This window comes from Homo sapiens, chromosome 3 (assembly GCF_000001405.40).
Source record: "Homo sapiens chromosome 3, GRCh38.p14 Primary Assembly".
Lineage (NCBI taxonomy): Eukaryota > Metazoa > Chordata > Mammalia > Primates > Hominidae > Homo > Homo sapiens.
The window spans coordinates 176,219,253-176,238,033 of NC_000003.12; the positions used below are offsets into that span (position 1 = coordinate 176,219,253).

At 33.3% G+C, this 18,781-nt stretch overlaps 1 annotated feature.

The window, feature by feature from the left end:
- Positions 529 to 1,297: an enhancer, noted in NCBI's record as "OCT4-NANOG hESC enhancer chr3:175937569-175938337 (GRCh37/hg19 assembly coordinates)". NCBI's record gives its function as "activates a minimal SCP1, AML or CMV promoter by ChIP-STARR-seq in naive H9 embryonic stem cells {active_cell/tissue: H9 hESC(naive)}" and the evidence as "EXISTENCE:reporter gene assay evidence [ECO:0000049][PMID:30033119]".

Below are 18,781 nucleotides of genomic sequence, written 5' to 3' on the forward strand. Positions count from 1 at the left end.
TATAAATCATTTGATGAGACATTTATCTCACTTCAAGAGACTAAATTGAATACCTGGCCTACTTATTGACAGGGATAGACTGTAAAAGGAGATAATCGGGCTACCTCAAATTAGACCCACTTCTGCCTTTCCCTCCAAGGGCTCTAGCCACTAGTGGTTTGTGTGAGTAGCTATGTTTCATATCAGTAACCACTTATCAACTGAGAATTTGAATTTTTATTTAAATGCGGTAAAATGGAATTCTCAACAATGGAAGGTGAAGTGAAAAATTACACAATTGCTAGCTACCTATAATAAAAGTAAAAGGTAAAATAACTGTGTCAAATAAGAGTTGGACTCTGCCTCCACATTTTAGGAACCTATGGTATCAGAAATAATGGCTCTACTTTTTCTCAAATAAACTAAACAAGAAAACAAAATGAGTGGGGGAAAATCTAAATTATATGTTCATATAGCCAAGCAACACCAAACAGAAAAAAACCAAAAACTGAGACAAGCAGGAAAAAATGAGAAGACAAGTGGTAGACTGGCAGTGGCAGAACCCAAAAGAGGAAGTTCCACAAGGAATGGGAAATGATGTGAGCAGGAGTCAGAGTGAAGCGGGAAGATCACTAAGGAGATTAAGAAAAGAAAGCAAGGAAACTCCCTAAGAGGTGTCCGGATTTAGAATGTATCAAGAAATATCACCTTCTGATAAATGCTAAGAAGATAGCAGAAGCATATCTTTGGAGCTCTACTAAAATCTCCACAAATCCTCCAAAAAAAATGGATGGAGCAACCAGGATAGCAGAACAAAACGATGGAAATAATGTGTTGAATAAGACCTGATGAATATGCATCAAGGAGACTGGGGCAAACCACCAGGTCAGCAGTGGTGTGAGAACAAAGGGAAGAAAGAGAAGACGGCTCTGAGCAATGCTAAGTCCTCACCACTCCAAACAAAGCCCCCCCACTGGGAGTAAAGAAATTAACTGGTGGATCTGAGAACAGCAATCCAAACTGGTAGGTGAGTACAAGATTCTCTGGGAAGGACTGACCATGAGGGGTTACCTGGGACTTCACAGCTACTGAAATACTCAACGAAAGGACAGAGACTTGACAACAGAGACAGACGACTTGAAGTAAAATACAAATTGCTTGAGGAATAAAACAGATTTGGGGTAAAAGGAAGGCAAGTTTTCGATACCATTTGAGGAAAACTTGAGAGAAAGCAGGTGGCAGAAATTCTGGTAAAGTGACAGACTACTTTCTCAATATTAGTTGTCACATCTCAGGTTGGGTCCTAGAAGAAAGCTCTGAGACGGGATTTAGCACACTGGATGCTTATGAAGGGGGATCCTTTGGGATCAATACTTGTGAAAGGGAGGGAAGGAAGTGGGGCTGGATACAGGGAGCTATCAAGCTGCAATGTCAGCGCAATAGCCTCAGCTGCCCACACTGGGAGCTCTGCAGCAAGAAAAGCCCTTCAGGAATTGTTCGGAGCTGGGTTTTAATTCCCACCCTCATCCTTTTTTTTTTTTTTTTTTTTTTTTTTTTGAGACGGAGTCTCGCCTTGTCGCCCAGGCTGGAGTGCAGTGGTGCAATCTCGGCTCACTGCAAGCTCCACCTCCTGGGTTCACGCCATTCTCCTGCCTCAGCCTCCCCAGTAGCTGGGACTACAGGCGCCCGTCACCACGCCCAGCTAATTTTTTTTTGTATTTTTAGTAGAGAAGGGGTTTCACCGTGTTAGCCAGGATGGTTTTGATCTCCTGACCTCGTGATCCTCCCGCCTTGGCCTCCCAAAGTGCTGGGATTACAGGCATGAGCCACCATGCTCGGCCTCCCCGTCATCCTAATTGGTTTTAGATCACTCCAGGGAGGGGAGTGAATGTGAGCAAAGTGGTTTTCCGTAGCTGTGCTAATCCCCTAAGAGGCTGGTAGCTCAGAGCTTCCTCCTGGCAGCACCCCTGGCAGCAGTAGCAATAATATTTTCATCACACCCCCAAAGAAGCAGCCCTGGAGCCATAAAATGAGAAATCCTTTTCTGGCTTAAACTTCTAAAATTATAACAAAATTCATCTGATTTAGACATAAAGAATAAAAAAGGATTACATTCAAACCCATAGTAAATACTAGAAGAATAAAAGAGGATAATGAGAATCAAACACCTGTAGGAAATGGAGACACACCGGAAAAATGTGTCATAATGCAGGGAAAACCTATAAACTAGTATTTCTATAGGAGTAAACAGGGATTATGAAAGAAAAATAGGATATCTGGTAGAAAGATTGGAAAAAATGAGAAATAAGGACATGAAAGACAGTTAAAAGAATTTGGGAAATAATTATAAGTTAAGTTTAATAATCAGGGAAAAGATTAGAATTAACACAAGAGTAAAGAGAGATGGCAGAAAATATATTGTTTTGAATAGATGATAAAAAATAAATCAGATATTAAAAGAGAATACAAAGGAGATTTTTCAATACTGAGGTATTGGTAAAATTAGAAAATTAGTATTTTGTGGTATCTAATGAAATAATGGAACTAGACCAGGCATTCTTAAAATATGATCTGACAACTAATGGTCATCCAACTTACTCTATTTTCCAACTGCCTAACTAGATGAGGCCCAATTGTCTTCATGCACTTAAACCAAAACAACATATTGCAACAGGTTGAATGCAGAAACAGATATGAGAATTTAGCTATATTCAAACAGTCAAAATTAAAGAGTTTTATAAAAATATAAAATAATTCTATATTTTGAAAAATATTACTTTTATAAATGTTTATGTTAACAAAATAATTAATATTGAACAAATAAATTTATATTGGAATATAACATACAACAATCTTAAGACCCACATTCTTTTCAAGCAAAAAAGGAATATTCACAAAATTGACTCTATTTTCATCCATAAAGAAAATCTCTACAATTTCCAAAGGATTGATAAAATATAGAATATGTTCTCTGACCACAATGAAATTTAACTAGGCAACTACAACAAACAGCCTCTAGAAAAACTCTATTTGCTAAATAAGAAATGAATGTTATCTAAACCTTAAATAAAAAGAAATAACAACAGATATTATAAAATGTCTTAAACTGAATGATAATAAAAGTGTGTTACACAAAAAACCGGGGACACTTTTAAAATAGTAATAGATGAAAATTTATAGCCTTAAAGTAATGCACTAGGAAATAAGGATGGCTCGAAGTGTAAGGAGCTAAGCGTCCATCTAAAGATGTTAGAAATAAAACAGCAAAGAAAACTTTAATTAAAAAAGGAAAGATAATGTAGATGAAAGCTGAATAATAAACTGAAAAAAATATAAAGAGATGATTAATACATTGAAGTGTTAATTCTTTGAAAAGACTAAAAGCAAACATCTGGCAAAATGATTTTAAAAAGAGGGGAAAGGGGTTAGAAGGCATAAATAACTTGTAACAAATTAAAAAGTAAAAGTACTTTGTCTCTAAAAGCTAGCAGGTATTAAAAAGATAATAAATTATTATGAAAAATTATGTCTGGAAATTTAGACGAAATAGGCAACATTTTAGGAAAGCATAATATTAAAAGATAGACACAAGAAGTAACTAGTAACAGTGACATCAGCAAGATGGCTGACTAGAAGCTCCTTGTGGTCTTCATTCCCATAAAAAGAAATTCCAAAACTACAAAAAAAACTACGCTTTATCCAAAATAACTAAAGGAGCACTGGATAATAGTAAAGAAGCTGCAGAAATCTTGTAGAGCACAGAAACTCAGGATGGTCACACATGGAAGGAAAGGAGACACTTTGCCTCTGCCACCTCATTCCCGTAAGTCAGAATCAGCTTGGAACCAGAAGGGACTTCGCTTTGCAAGGAGAAGGTAAACAAGAGGACCTCACAGCGCCCATTATCATCATATAATATATAATATATAGTAAATATATATATTTATAATATATGTATTACAAATATATTATATATAATATTTATTATGTATATTATATATTATAAATATTATATATTTATAATATTTATAATATATTATATATGATATATAAAATATTATAAATTATAAATATATAATATATAAGATATATAATATATATTTATAATATATAAGATATATAATATATATTTATAATATATAAGATATATAATATATATTTATAATATATAAGATATATAATATATATTTATAATATATAAGATATATAATATATATTTATAATATATAAGATATATAATATATATTTATAATATATAAGATATATAATATATATTTATAATATATAAGATATATAATATATATTTATAATATATAAGATATAATATATTATATATAATATATAAGATATAATATCTTATATATAAGATATAATATCTTATATATTATATATAAGATATAATATCTTATATATAAGATATTATATCTTATATCTTATATATAATATATTATATATAAAAATAATATATAATATATTATATGTTATATATAATATATTATATTAATAATACATAATATATAAAATATATATAATTATATATTAATATATTATTATATAAAATAATATACAATTATATATTATATAGTATTATATAAAATAATATATAATTATATATACATATGTATTATATATAAATATATATTTATATATAATATATTAATATATATATATATATAATTGAGAGCTTCAACAGCAGACTAGATGCAACAGAAGAGAGAATCTGTGAACCTGAAGAAGGTCTTTTGAATTGACTTATTCAAAAGAAAAGAAAAAAGAAATAAAAGAAAGAAAAAAAGAATAAAAAATAGTGAAAGCCTACAGGACTTATGAGATACCATTAAGCAAACAAAGTTTCACATTGTGAGAGTTTAAAAGAAGGAAAAGAGATAGAGAAAGAAACAGAAAGCTTATTTAATGAAGTACTTTCTGAAAACTTCTCAAGTCTTGGGAAAGACATGGACATCTATGAAGCTCAAAAGTCCCCAAAATACATTCAATGCAAAGAGATTTTCTCCAACACATATTAAAATCACAACATCAAAAGTCGAAGACAAAGAAAGAAGTTGAAAAGCAGCAAGAGAAAAGCATCAACTCACATATAAGGAAATCCTCATTAAATCATAAGCAGTTTTCTCAGCAGAAACCTTGCAGGTCAGAAAAGAATGAGATGATATATTCAAAGTGCTAGAAAAAAAAACTGCCAATCAAGAATACTATTCCCATCAAAGCTGTGCTTCGGAAGTGAAAAAAAAAAAAGTAGACTTTCTCAGAGAAGCAAAAGCTCAGGTTATTTGTTACCACTAGATCAGCCTTATAAGAAATGCTTAAGAGTTCTTAAAGCAGAAATGAAAGGACAATAATTGTTATCATGTATATATATAAAAGCATAAAACTCACTGTTAGAATTAAATATGTAGTCAAATCCAGAATACTCCAGTACTACAATGATGCTGTGTAAATCATACATACATCTAGTATGAAGTCTAAAGGTCAAAAGAGTAAAAAATCAAGCTACAATAAGTTATTAAGAAACACACACTATAAAAAGATGTAAATTGTGACATAAAAACATAAATTGTGAAGGGAAGGGTAAAAGTCTGGAATTTTTTGTATGTCACAGAAGTTAAGTTGTTATCAGCTTAAAACAGTAGATTAGAAGTATGAGATATTTTATGCAAACCTCATTGTAACAAAACAAAACAAAAAACTGTAGCAGATATGCAAATGATAAAGAGAAAGGAATTTAAGCATAGGACTACAGAATATTATAAAATTATAAAGGTAGACAACAAGAGAGGAAAAAAGGGAAAAAGGAGATACAAAACAACAAGGAAAAATTAACAGAATGGCAGTAGTAAGTGCTAACCTACCAATAATAACCTTGAATGTAAATGGATTAAATTTTCCAATCAAAGGACATAGAGTGGCTGAATGCATAGGAAAACAAGAACTAACTATATGCTGCATACAGGAGACTCATGTAAACTTTAAGAATACACATAGGCTAAAAGTGAGAGGATGAAAGAAGATATTCCATGTAAATGGCAACTACAAGAGAGCAGAAGTGGCTATACTTATATCTGATTAAATAGGTTTCAAGTCAAAATCTATCACAAGAGACAAAGAAGGTCTCTATTTAATGATAAAAAGGTAAATTAATTGTGAGGACATAACCACTGTAAATATACATGCACCCAACATTGGAGCACCTAGATACATAAAGCAAATATTAATAAATGTGAAGGAAAAGAGAGATAGCAATACAATAAAGTAGGGGCCTTCAATAAGCCTCCTTGAACAATGAATAAATCAACCAGTTAGAAAATTAATAAGGTAATACTAAATTGAATTGTATTTTTGAACAAATGGACCTAAAACACACTTACAAAACTTTACCTCCAACAACAGCAGAACACACATTTTTCTTCAGTGCACATGAAACACTCTCCAGTATAGAACATATGTTAGGCTACAAAATGAGTCTTAACAAATTTTAAAAGTTTGAAATTATATCTAGTACCATTTCATATCACAAAGATACAAAACTAAACATAAATAACATGGTGAATTGTGGAAAATTCACAAATATGTGGAAATTAAACAACACACTTCTGAACAACCAATGAGTAAAGAAAGAAATCAAAAGAAATATTTAAAAATATATGGAGTCCAACAACAATGGAAACACAACGTACCAAAACCCATGAAATGTAGCAAAAGCAATTCTAAGAGTGATGTTTATATCAATCAATGCCTACATTAAAAAAAGAAGAAACATTCTAAATAAATAGCATAACATTATGCCTAAAGAATCAAAAGAACAAACTAAAACCAAAATTATCAGAAAGAAATCAAATAGAGAACAGAAAAAATACAGAGAGAATCAATCAAACCAGCACTTGATTTTTTTAAATAAAAACAAAATTGACAACCCCCTAGTTAGACTAAGAAAAGAATAGAGAAGGGTCAAATACAAAATTAAAAATGAAAGTGTAAATTTCATAATACATATCTCAGAAATAAAAAAATCATAAGGGACTATTAGGAACAATTATGTGCTGGCAAATTGGATAATCTAGGGAATTAATAAATTAATAGAAAAATACAACCTACCAAGATTGAACCAGAAAGAAATAAAAAGTCTGAACATATAAAAACAAATAGGAGATAATGAAGTTGTAAAAATCTTTCCAACAAAGAAAAGCCTAAGACCAGACCGCTTTACAGCAGAATTCCACGAAACATTCAAAGAAAACTTTAATAATTTCCAACAATTCTAAAAACTGCTGAAAAATAGAGCTAGAGGGAATGCTTTCAAACTCATTTTATAAATCCAGCATCACCTTGATTCCTAAGTTAAAAAAACACGTCACAAGAAAAGAAAACTACAGGTCAATTTATCTGATGTACATTGATGCAAAAATTATCTACAAAATATTAGCAGATGAAATTCAACAATGTATTTAAAATATTATATGACAAAGTAATATTTATCTCTGACATGCAAGGCTAATTTAACATAGGCAAATTAATCAATGTGATATATCACATTAACATAATGAAAACTTGAAACTACATGATTATTTCAATTGATGCAAAAAAAAGCATTCAACAAAATCCAACCTTCTTTCTTAATTAAAACCTTCAACAGTTTAGGTATAGAAGGAAAGTTTTTCAACATGATAAATGTCATTTATGAAAACCTTTTGTTATGATTTGGAACTGCGTTCCCACCCATATCTCATGTTGAAGTGTAATTCCCGGTGTTAGAGATGGAGCCTGATAGGAGGTGATTGAATCATGTGGGTGGCATTCTCATGAATGGTTTAGCACCAGTCCCCCCTTGGTACTGCATAATGAGAGAGTTCTCATGAGATCTGATTGTTTAAAAGTGTGCAGCATCTCCCCCGTCTCTCTGTTGGTCCTGCTCCTGCCATGTAGGATGACTGTTCCAACTTTGCCTTTCAGCATGAGTGAAAGATCCTTGAGGCTTCCCCGAAGCAGAAGCTGCTGTACTTTCTACACAGCTTAGGAAATCATGAGCCAATTAAACCTCTTTGCATTATAAATTACCCAGTCTCAGATATTTCTTTATAGCAATGCTAGAACAACCTAACACAGATAATTGAGGAATTAGGCATTGCTATAAAGAAACCTGAAAATGTGGAAGCAATGTTGGAACTGGGTAATGGGCAAAGGTTGGAAGAGTGTGGAGAGCTTAGAAGAAAACAATAAGATGACAGAAAGCTTGAAACTTCCTAGAGACTTGTTGAATGGTTGTGACCAAAATGCTGATAGTGATGTGGACAGTGAAAACTAGGCTAATGAGATATCAGATAGAAATAAGAAACTTATTGGGAAGTGGAGCAGTCATTTTTGTTATGCTTTAGCAAGGAGCTTGGGTGCATTATGCCCATGCCCTAGAGATCTGTGGAACTTTGAACTTGAGAGTGATGATTTAAGGTATCTGGTAGAAGAAATTGCTCAGCAGCAAGGCATTCAAAATGTGGCCTAGCTGCTTCTAACAACCTATGTTTATATGTGTGAGCAAAGAAATGACCAAAAACTGGAACTTACATTAAAAAGGGAAGCAGAACATAAAAATTTGGAAAATTTGCAGCTTGGCCATGTAGTAGAAAAGAAAAGCCCATTTTCAGAGGAGGAATTCAAGCAGGCTGTATAAATTTGCACAAGAAAAAAGGAGCCAAGTGCTAACATTCAAGACAATGGGGAAAAGGCCTCAAAAGCATTTCATAGATCTTTGTGGCAGCCCCTCCTATCACAGACCCAGAGGCCTAGGAGGGAATAATGCTTTTGAGGGCCAGGCCCAGGGCCCTGCCTTCCTGTACATCCTCGAGACACTGCTCCCTGCGTCCCAGCTGCTCCAGATCCAGCCTTGGCTCAAAGAGGCCCAAGTACAGTTCAAGATACTGCTTTAGAGAGTTCAAACTGTAAGCCTCTGTGGCTTCCATGTGGTGTTAAACCTGTGGGTAAGCAGAGTGCAAGAGGTGAAGCTTGGAGCCTCTCTCTAGATTTCAGAGAATGTATGGAAAACCTGCATGTCCAAGCAGAAGTCTGCTGCTGGGATGCAGCTCTCATGGGAAGCTCTACTAGGGCAGTGTAAAGGGCAAATATGGGTTGGAGCCCCTACACAATGTCCCCACTGGGGCACTACCTAGTGGAGCTATGAGAAGAGGGCCATCATCCTCCAGACCCCAGAATGGTAGAATCACTGGCAGCTTGCATCATGCATCTGGAGATGCTGCAGATGCTCAATGCTAGCCCATGAGAACAGCTGGAGGCAGGTGACAAACACTGCAAAGCCGCAGGGCCAGAACTACACAAGGGCCCAAGGCTTTGGGAGCCCACACCTTGTACCAGTGTGGCCTTGATATGAGACATGAAGTCAAAGGAAATTATTTTGGAACTTTATGATTTAATGACTGACCTGCTGGGTTTTTGACTTGAGTGGGGAGTGTAGCCCCTTTGTTTTGGCCAATTCTCCCTTTTGGAATGGAAGTATTTATCCAATCTCTATATCCTCATTTTATCTTGGAAGTAACTACCTTGTTTTGTTTTTTATTTATTTTACAGGGTCATAGGCAGGAGGGACCAGCCCTTTCTCAGATAACACTTTGGACTATAGACTTTTGAGTTAATGCTGGAATGAGTTAAGACTTCAGGGGACTTTGAGAAAACATGATTGTATTTTGAAATGTAAGAAGGACATGATATTTGAGAGGGTCCAGGAGTGGAATTATATGGTTTGGATCTGTGTCCTCACCCAAATCTCATGTTGAAATGTCCCATTGCTGGAGGTGGGGCCTGGTGGGAGGTGATTAGATATGGGAGTGAAATTCTCATGAATGGTTTATTACCATTCCCCCTTATTACTATATAGTGATAGCATTCTCATGAGATCTGGTTGTTTAAAAGTGTGTAGCTCCTCTGTCTTCTCTCTTTTGCTCCTGCTCTGGCCATATAAGATGCACCTGCTTTCCCTTTGCCTTCTGCCATGAGTGTAAGTTTTCTGAGGCCTCTCCAGAAGCAGAAGCCGCTACACTTCATGTACAGCCTGCAAAACCACGAGCCAACTAAATCTCTTTTTTTTTAATAAATTACCCAGTGTCAGGTATTTCTTGATAGCAGTGCAAGAATGGGCAAATAGAACCATAGTTAAAATTTTACTCAATGTGGAAAAATTGAAAGCTTCCTACTAAGACCCAGTAAGAAGCAAGGATGTCCACTCTCATGACTTCTATTCAATAGTGTGCTGGAAATACTAGCAAGAGCACTAAAGAGAGAAAAAATGTAATTTGTCACATGAATTTTTTGGTTTCCCAGTGCATGTAGTACTTATGCTTATACTGTAGTCAATTAAATGTGCAATAATATTATGTCTGAATCAATGTACATACTTTACTTTAAAATACTTCATTATTTAAAAATGCTGAAAGTTATCTAAACTTTCAGCCAATTGTAATCTTTTTGCTGGTGGAGGGTCTTGCCTCAATGTTGGTGTCTGCTGACTGATTAGGGTGATAGTTCCTGAAGGTTGGTTGGGGTGGCTACGAAAATTTCTTAAAATAAGACTGGAATGAAATTTGCCATATATATTAGCTTTTTCTCTCATGAAAAAGTTTTCTGTAACAAGTGATGCTGTTTCACAGCATTTTATCCACAGTAGAACTTTTCTCAAAATTGGGGTTAATCCTCTCAAACCCTGCTGCTACTTTATCAGCTAAGTTTATGTAATATTCTAAATTTTTTGTTGTCATTTCAACAACATTTGCATCACCTTCCCCAAGAGTAGATTTTACGTCAATAAACCAGTTTCTTTTCTTATTCATAAGAAGCAACTTCTCATTTGTTTGATTTTGAACGTTAGATTATAGCAATTCAGTCCCATCTTCAGGCTCCACTTCTAATTTATCTTGTTATTTCCACCACATCTGTAACTTCTTCCTCCATGGATGTCTTGAATCCCTCAAAATCATCCATGGGGGTTGGAATCAACTTTTTCCAAACTCCTGTTAATTTTGATATTTTTTATCCCCTTTCATGAATCACAAATATTCTTTTTTTTTTTTTTTGAGACAGAGTCTAACTCTGTCGCCCAGGCTGGAGCGCAGTGGCACAATCTCAGGTCACTGCAACCTCTGCCTCCTGAGTTCAAGCAATTCTCCTGCCTCAGCCTCCTGAGTAGCTGAGATTGCAGGCATGCACCACCACACTCAGCTAATTTTTGTATTTTTAATAGATACAGGATTTCGCCACATTGGTCAGGCTAGTCTTGAACTCCTGACCTTGTGATTCACCCGCCTCAGCCTCCCAAAGTGCTAGGATTACAGGCATGAGCCACCACGCCCAGCCCTCAAATATTCTTAATGCATTCAGAATGGTGAATCTTTCCAAGAACGTTTTCAATTGACTTTTCTCAGATCTACCAGAGAAATAGCTATTCATGGCAGCTACAGCCTTATCGATAATAAAGCCTTAAATAATAAGACTTGAGAGTCCAAATTACTCCTTGTTTAATGAGCTACACAATGGCTGTTGTGGTAGCAGGCATAAAAGCAACATGAATCTCTGTGTAAATTTCTATCAGAGCTGTTGGTTGACAAGGTACATTGTCAATGACCAGTAATATTTTGAAAGGAATGCTTTTCTTCCTGAATAGTAGCTCTCAATAGTAGGTCTCAGATATTTAATAAGCCATGCTGTAAACAGATGTGCTGTCATCCAGGCTTTGTTGTTCCATTCATAGAGCACAGACAGAGTAGATTTAGCATAATTTTTAAAGGCCGTAAGATTTTCAGAATGGTAAATGAGAATTGGCTTCCACTTAGGGTCACCGGCTGCATTAGCTCATAACAGGAGGGTCAGCCTGTCTTTTGATACTTTGACACCAGTCATTTAGTACCCATCTCTAGTTATGAAAGTCCTAGATGGCATCTTTTATCAACAGAATGCTGTTTTGCCTACATTAAAAATCTGTTATACAGTGTAGCCACCTTCTTTGATTATCTTATCTAGATCTTTTGGTTAACTTGATGCAGGTTCTACATTAGCACTTGCTGCTTTGTCTTGCAATGTTATGTTATGAAGATGCCTTCTTTCCTTAAACCTCATGAACCTCTGCTAGATTCAGCATTTTCTTCTCAAGTTTCCTCACCTCTCTTAACTTGCATAGAATTGGCAAGAGTTAGGACCTTGTTCTGGATTAGGCTTTGACTTAAAGGAATGGGGTGACTGCTTTGATCTTCAATCCAGACCAATAACCTTCTCTAGATCAGGAAGAAGGCTGTTGTGCCTTCTTAGCATGTGTTCACTGGCATAGCACTTTAATTTCCTCATTAAACTTTTTCTTTCTTTTTTTTTTTTTTGCATTCACAGCTTGGCTAATGATTTAGCACAAGAAGCCTAGCTTTCAGCCTATCTCAAATTTTGGCATGCCTTCCTCAATAAGCGTAATCATTTCTAGTATTTGATTTAAAGTGAGAATGTACAACTCTTCCTTTATCTTGACCACTTAGAGACCACTGTGTGGTTATTCATAGGCCTAATTTCAATATTACTGTGTTTCAGGGAATAAGGAGGCCTGAGGAACAGAGAGAGAAGAGGAAACAGCTAGTCAGTACAGCAGTCAGAACACATGTTGAACACAGGTAACATTTATCAAAGACGTTTCCTGTCTTATACTGGCACAGTTTGTGATCCCTCAAACAATTACAATGGAAACATCAAATATCAGTGATCATACATCACCATAACAAACGTGAGAAAGAAGTGTGAAATATTGCAAGAATTATCAAAACATGACACAACAACATGAAGTGAGCACATGCAGTACAAAAAAAACCATGCCAATGGACTTGCTCAAGGAAGGGTTGCTACATCCTTCAATTTGTAAGGATTTTGTCAAAATACTCTCTGTGAAGCACAATAAAGAGAAGTTCATTAATACAAGGTATGATTATATCTGATAAAGGGATGAGTGTCCAAAATTTATAAAGAATTCATACAACTCAATAGTGTAAAAACAATTCAATATAAAATGATCAAAATACCTGAAAAACCTTCTTATAAGAAGATATAAAAATGGCCAATAGGTATATGAAAATGTACCCAGTATCATTAAATCAAAAAATGCAAATAGATGACTATTATTAATACCCAAAAGTCAATAAGATAACAAATGTTGGTGAGATTGTGGAGAAAGGGAATTCTTGTACACTGTTGGTGAGAATGTAGATTGGTATAGCCATTTTGGAAAACAGTATGGAAGTTTCTAAAGAAATTAAAAATAGAACCACCATATAATCCAACAACACTTTTTCTGGGCATATAATGAATAAAATTGAAATCAACACCTTGTAAATATATCTATCTTCCCATGTTTATTGTGGCATTATTCACAATAGCCAAGATATAAAAGCAGTATAAGTGTTCATAGATAGGCAAATTTTCAGGAAAATTTGTTTTTATATCTTGGTGAAAAACAATCTAAGTGTTCATAGATAGACAAATGGAAAAATAAATTTTGATACATATATACAATGGAATATTATTCAGCCTTAAAAAAGAGTGAGATCTTGCCATTTGCTGCAACATGGATGAGCCTAGATGGATATTATTCTAATGAAATAAAGCAGACATAGAAAGAAAAATATTGCTTCATTTCACTTATATGTGGAATCTTAAAAAAATAATTAAAATCTACAGAGGTGAAGAATAAAACAGTGGTTACCAAGGGTAGAAGGTGGGGGGAGGATATAAGAGATGTAGGTCAGAGAATACAAGGCAGCATATTTGCAGGATAAACAAGTTCAGAGACCTAATGTACAACCTACGGTTTGTAGGTAATAACATTGTACTGTATATTGAATTCATGCTACATAAGTACATTTTAACTATTCTTGCCACAAAAACAAACAAAAAAAATGGGTAACCACGTGAGATAATGGATATGTTAATTGGCTTCACCATAGTAACCTTTTCACTATTTATATGTATTCCATAACATCATGTTATATAACATAAATATACACAATAAAGTTTATTTTAAATAAATAAAGAACAGGTAAAGCTAAATATTCTATTGGCTATTAAAGAAATTAAACTCATAATTTTAAAACTTTGTATAAGAAAAACCTCTAGGTCCATATGGCAAGCTCTACCAAAGAATTAGAAAGGTAATACCAGCCTTATACAAACTTTCTGTAGAAAGTAATAGTATATTTCTAAGCTCCATGTGGCTAATATCACTTTGATACCAAAATTTGACAAGGACAATACAAGAAAGAAAACCTATAAGCTCAGCTGATTAATGACAATACATGTAAAGATCCTACACAAAATAATAGAAAACAAAATCTAGCCTAGCAAAACAAATTTAATACCCCAGACTAAGATGAATTTATTCCATACAAGAATAGGATAAAATTAGAATATCAATTCTTTTAGTTTGCTACATAATCAGAAGAAAGAAGACAAATCATATTATCAATATGCTGATTTTAAGTGTAAAATATAAACTGGATTTCAAATATTTAGTATGAAAAATAATGTAAAAATCCCATGAATATATTTGTATTTATTTCTTACTGAAATGATAATATATTGGATATACTGAGTTAAATATATAACTGCTATCAATTGCCTGTTTCTTTTTACGCTTTTAAATGTGTCTACTGCTATCATTTCAACATTTTAAAAAATGTATCACTTGTCTAAAACACTTTGATAAAAGGCAGAGATTGTCAAGCTGTACAATAAAGCAATAATCAACTACAGGCTGTCTGTAAGAAACCAGTTTAAATATAAAGTTGTAAAGCATCCGGAATATCTCAAGTGATATTGAAAAAGAATAACAATTTTGGAGACTTAGAGTACCAGTATTCAACACAACTAAATTTTATATTAAGGACATTGTGATACTGCCAAAGGACAGCAAGATCAATGTAAGAGAATAGAGTGCCTATCCAGATACTGATCTATACATATGTATGGTTAGATTGTTGACAAAGATTCCAAAACAGGCCAAAGGAAAAAAGTCTTTTCAAAAAGAGGTGCTAGAACAGCTCAATATGTATATAGGAGAAAAAATTTGTACTTATGCATTATACCAAGAATTAATTTCACATGGATAATTAATCTAAACATAAAAACAGCCACCATAAAACTTTTTTAAAAACTCACCAGATAATATATTCATCAATTGGGTAAACAAACACTTCTTAGTCTGGACAAAAAGCAATAACCATAAAATTTTTTTAAAAAATTAGATTTCATTAAAATTAAAAATTTCTGTTCGTCAAAAGATATCATTAAAAATTCATATGAAAGACACAGAGTAGCAGAAAAAAATCACTGGAAAAAACTTTGTATGGTGATGAAAAGATTCCATAATGATATACATTTGTGAAAACTCATCGAACTTTATAGTAAATGTTCTCATGTTTGTGGACTATTAGGTCTCTCCTACATTATTGGTGAGGACCTAAGATAATACACCTAATTGGCAAATATCTGGTAGTTTCTTACAATTTTAAACATAATCTATTCACAAGTATTAGCCCAAATAAATTAAATCGTTAAAAAAAAGTACCCACATGTCCATAGTAGATTAATCTACAAGTAAATCTATTTATTTATCATAGTAGCCCAAATCTGGAAACTATCTGGTTGTCCAGGTATCCAATATTAAAAAATGACTAAAAAAACCCTAGCATATTCATACACATTCATTCATGGAGTACTATGTAGCAATAAGAGGGAAACTCGTGTATGGAATTACATGAACATATATCAGGACCATGATGCTGAGAAACAGAAACCAAATACCAAAAGAATACATATTGTATGATTTCATTTGTATGAAATTCCAAAAGAGGCAAAACTAACATATGCTGGGAAAAAAAAATCAGAACATTGGTTGCCTCTGCCACTTGAGAACTCACCATTAAGTTTTCTACTTAGGTGTTAAAGAGGCACAAAAGTGGAATGCTTTGTCTCAATATCTGGGAAAAAAAGCAATATTATATAGTTGAGAAAGACATTATTTTCTAGTACTAAGATCTTAGGCGAACGAGTCTTCAAATGAAGGATATTGAAAAACAAATGTTTATTTTTCAAAATATATAGGTTAGATATCCCCAATCTGAAAATCTGAAATCTGGAAAGCTCCAAAATCAACTATTTTTTGAATACCAACACAATGCCGCAAGTGAAAAATTTCACAACTGATCACGTGAGACATCACAGTGAAAAGCTCTTTCATGTACAAAATCATTGCAAATATGTGTATATTTTACAGATAAAATATTTGTTTAAAAATTGTATAAAAGTACCTTCAGATTATTTGTATAAGGTGAATATGAAACAAATGAATTTTGTATATAGAATTGGGTTCCTTCCCTAAAATATCTCATTAGGTACATGCAAATTTCCAAAAATCTGAAAAAATTCAAGATCTGAAACATTTCTGATCTCAAGAATTTTGGATAAGGGATACTGCATATTTAAAGTGCAAAGTTAATCTTTATGTGGCCATTTTATCTTCTAGAAATGTCAAGTATATCATCTTAAGTTATAATTAACACTTATATCACCATGTAACCTTCTTTTAAAGAATTATCTCCTTTTATACAAACACCAAATGACCCTGCAAACTGAATTCTAATTCTCTAAACTTAACAGGCTTGTTTAAAACTGTTGAAATGTTCATTTTTTATACACATACTTACTTCCATGTGCAATGTCTGTTTTCCCCTTTTCTCCTAAAGAATTACTTCTCTTTTACCTTTTGTTACTCGCTACATCTACTCTAGTTCCAAATTATATTGTCGATATCTCTGTTGGAATATATATATATATATATTATATAATCTTGCATTTTACCTAGAAAATCTTCCTTATTTCAAAGACTAACAATGGGAAGCACAGAAAAATCACAACTTAAATTTTGTGACTAAGAGAAGAGGCCATCCCTTAAACCAACCTCATCTGCATCTGAAGTAAATTCCATTTCTTTAGCATAGAAAAGCAGTATTTTCAAGATATTGATGAAGAAGTAGAATGCAGTAGGCTAAGGCTGTCAACCCTAGACATACATTAGTTATTTATGGGAGCTTAACAAAGTATCAATACTTGAGCCCTAGTTCCTAGAGATTATTTGTTAATTGGTCTCTGAAGGCATATGCCCATCTATTAGTATTCCAGTGTGCAATTCAGTTGAAATCTAAGACAATATCAGTTTTTTAAAGTCATAAATATTTCCTTAATCTGTTGTTAATTTATGCTTCTGAATATCCATTTTAGTTGACAATTAGACACTGTTATGAACTTCTGATAAAAAGCATGCAGATTTTAATATTTCAGGCTTCATGTATTAAAAAATTATCATAATGTTTCAGTTAATTTATTATGTTAGTCTGGAACTGAGCATATAACACCTCAAAAATTTACTGTGTATTATATCATCATTTTTCTGTGAATGCTTGTGTCCCTAGAAGAATGAAACAGCCCACAATAGAGCCTCATCCATATTATAGTACACATTGTTATAAAAGTCTTGTAGTGTAGTGAATTATGGCTAAAATCTATATTCATATATACTATATTTCAGTTAACTTGTCAGTCAATACCAACATATTTTCAAATATTAAGCTGAAATGCAGCTCAAGTTTTTAAAAAAATCACTATTTTAAACTAAATGCTCTATTTCCAAAACTCTATTAAATGCAACCAGAATTTTTATGTTTTCATGCAGTTTGATATGGTTTTTATTACTAAGTTTATGCCAAAATTAAATATGAATTTCTGTTTCCAACACTATTTGAAATATCATTCTATATTTAAAGTACAGCAATAAATTGTTTATATTTATTATTAACCTGTGTTGGTCTAAAACTATGAACTGTAATTAAATAGTCCAATAATAGCACAAAAGTAAGTTGATTCAATCTTGCAACTTGTATTTCTTGACACAGATATATTTTCTTAACAGAACATGTAATCAAATTGAGGCTATCAATAACAGACAGCTCCACCTCGCTCACAAATATGGAAGTATCAATATTGTAGTAGAGTTAATCTCTAAGAATAAACTCAGGGCTTCTTCCCTATTGCAACGTTAAAAAAAGAAATTCTCTCTATCAATGAAATGATGGGGGTTTTTAGGCTCCCCTTAAAGAAATTAGGTTTCATTGAAATGAGGAAAGGCAACACTCTGGCAAAGTGTTATCTTGGGCACAATATCATTATGATCAGTTCCTTCTGGGATGATGTTAAAGATTAGTTTATAAAAGTTCTTAAAGAGTTTAATATCTTTTCTTATTGGGCCTAGTTGTATTTATGGAAATTGTGGCAGTGTTTGTGATAGCAACCTCACAAAAACATGAGAAAGCTTTGAGAAAGAAAAAAAAAAATGCACCTGGCTGATCATTAGCTCAACGTCTAAATATCACTCTTTCCAAAATACTTTTCTGAGAAATGATCATGGGATTTTTCTCACTGTTTTCTGACAAAGGGAAATAGCAGCCTATAAAGACAAATTCTGAAAAGAAGCCAATCTTTTCTCATCAAAAGATACTTAACTTGGTGTAGGTGAGTCACTTGTAACAAATGTTCCACACTGATGCAGGATGTTGATGGTGGGGGAGGTTGTGCATGAGTGGGGACAAGGGGTACACAGGAACTCTTTGTAATTTCCACTCAATTTTGCTGTAAACCTAGAACTCCTCTAAGAAATTCTAGGCGGGGCATGATGGCTCACGCCTGTAATCCCAGCATTTTGAGA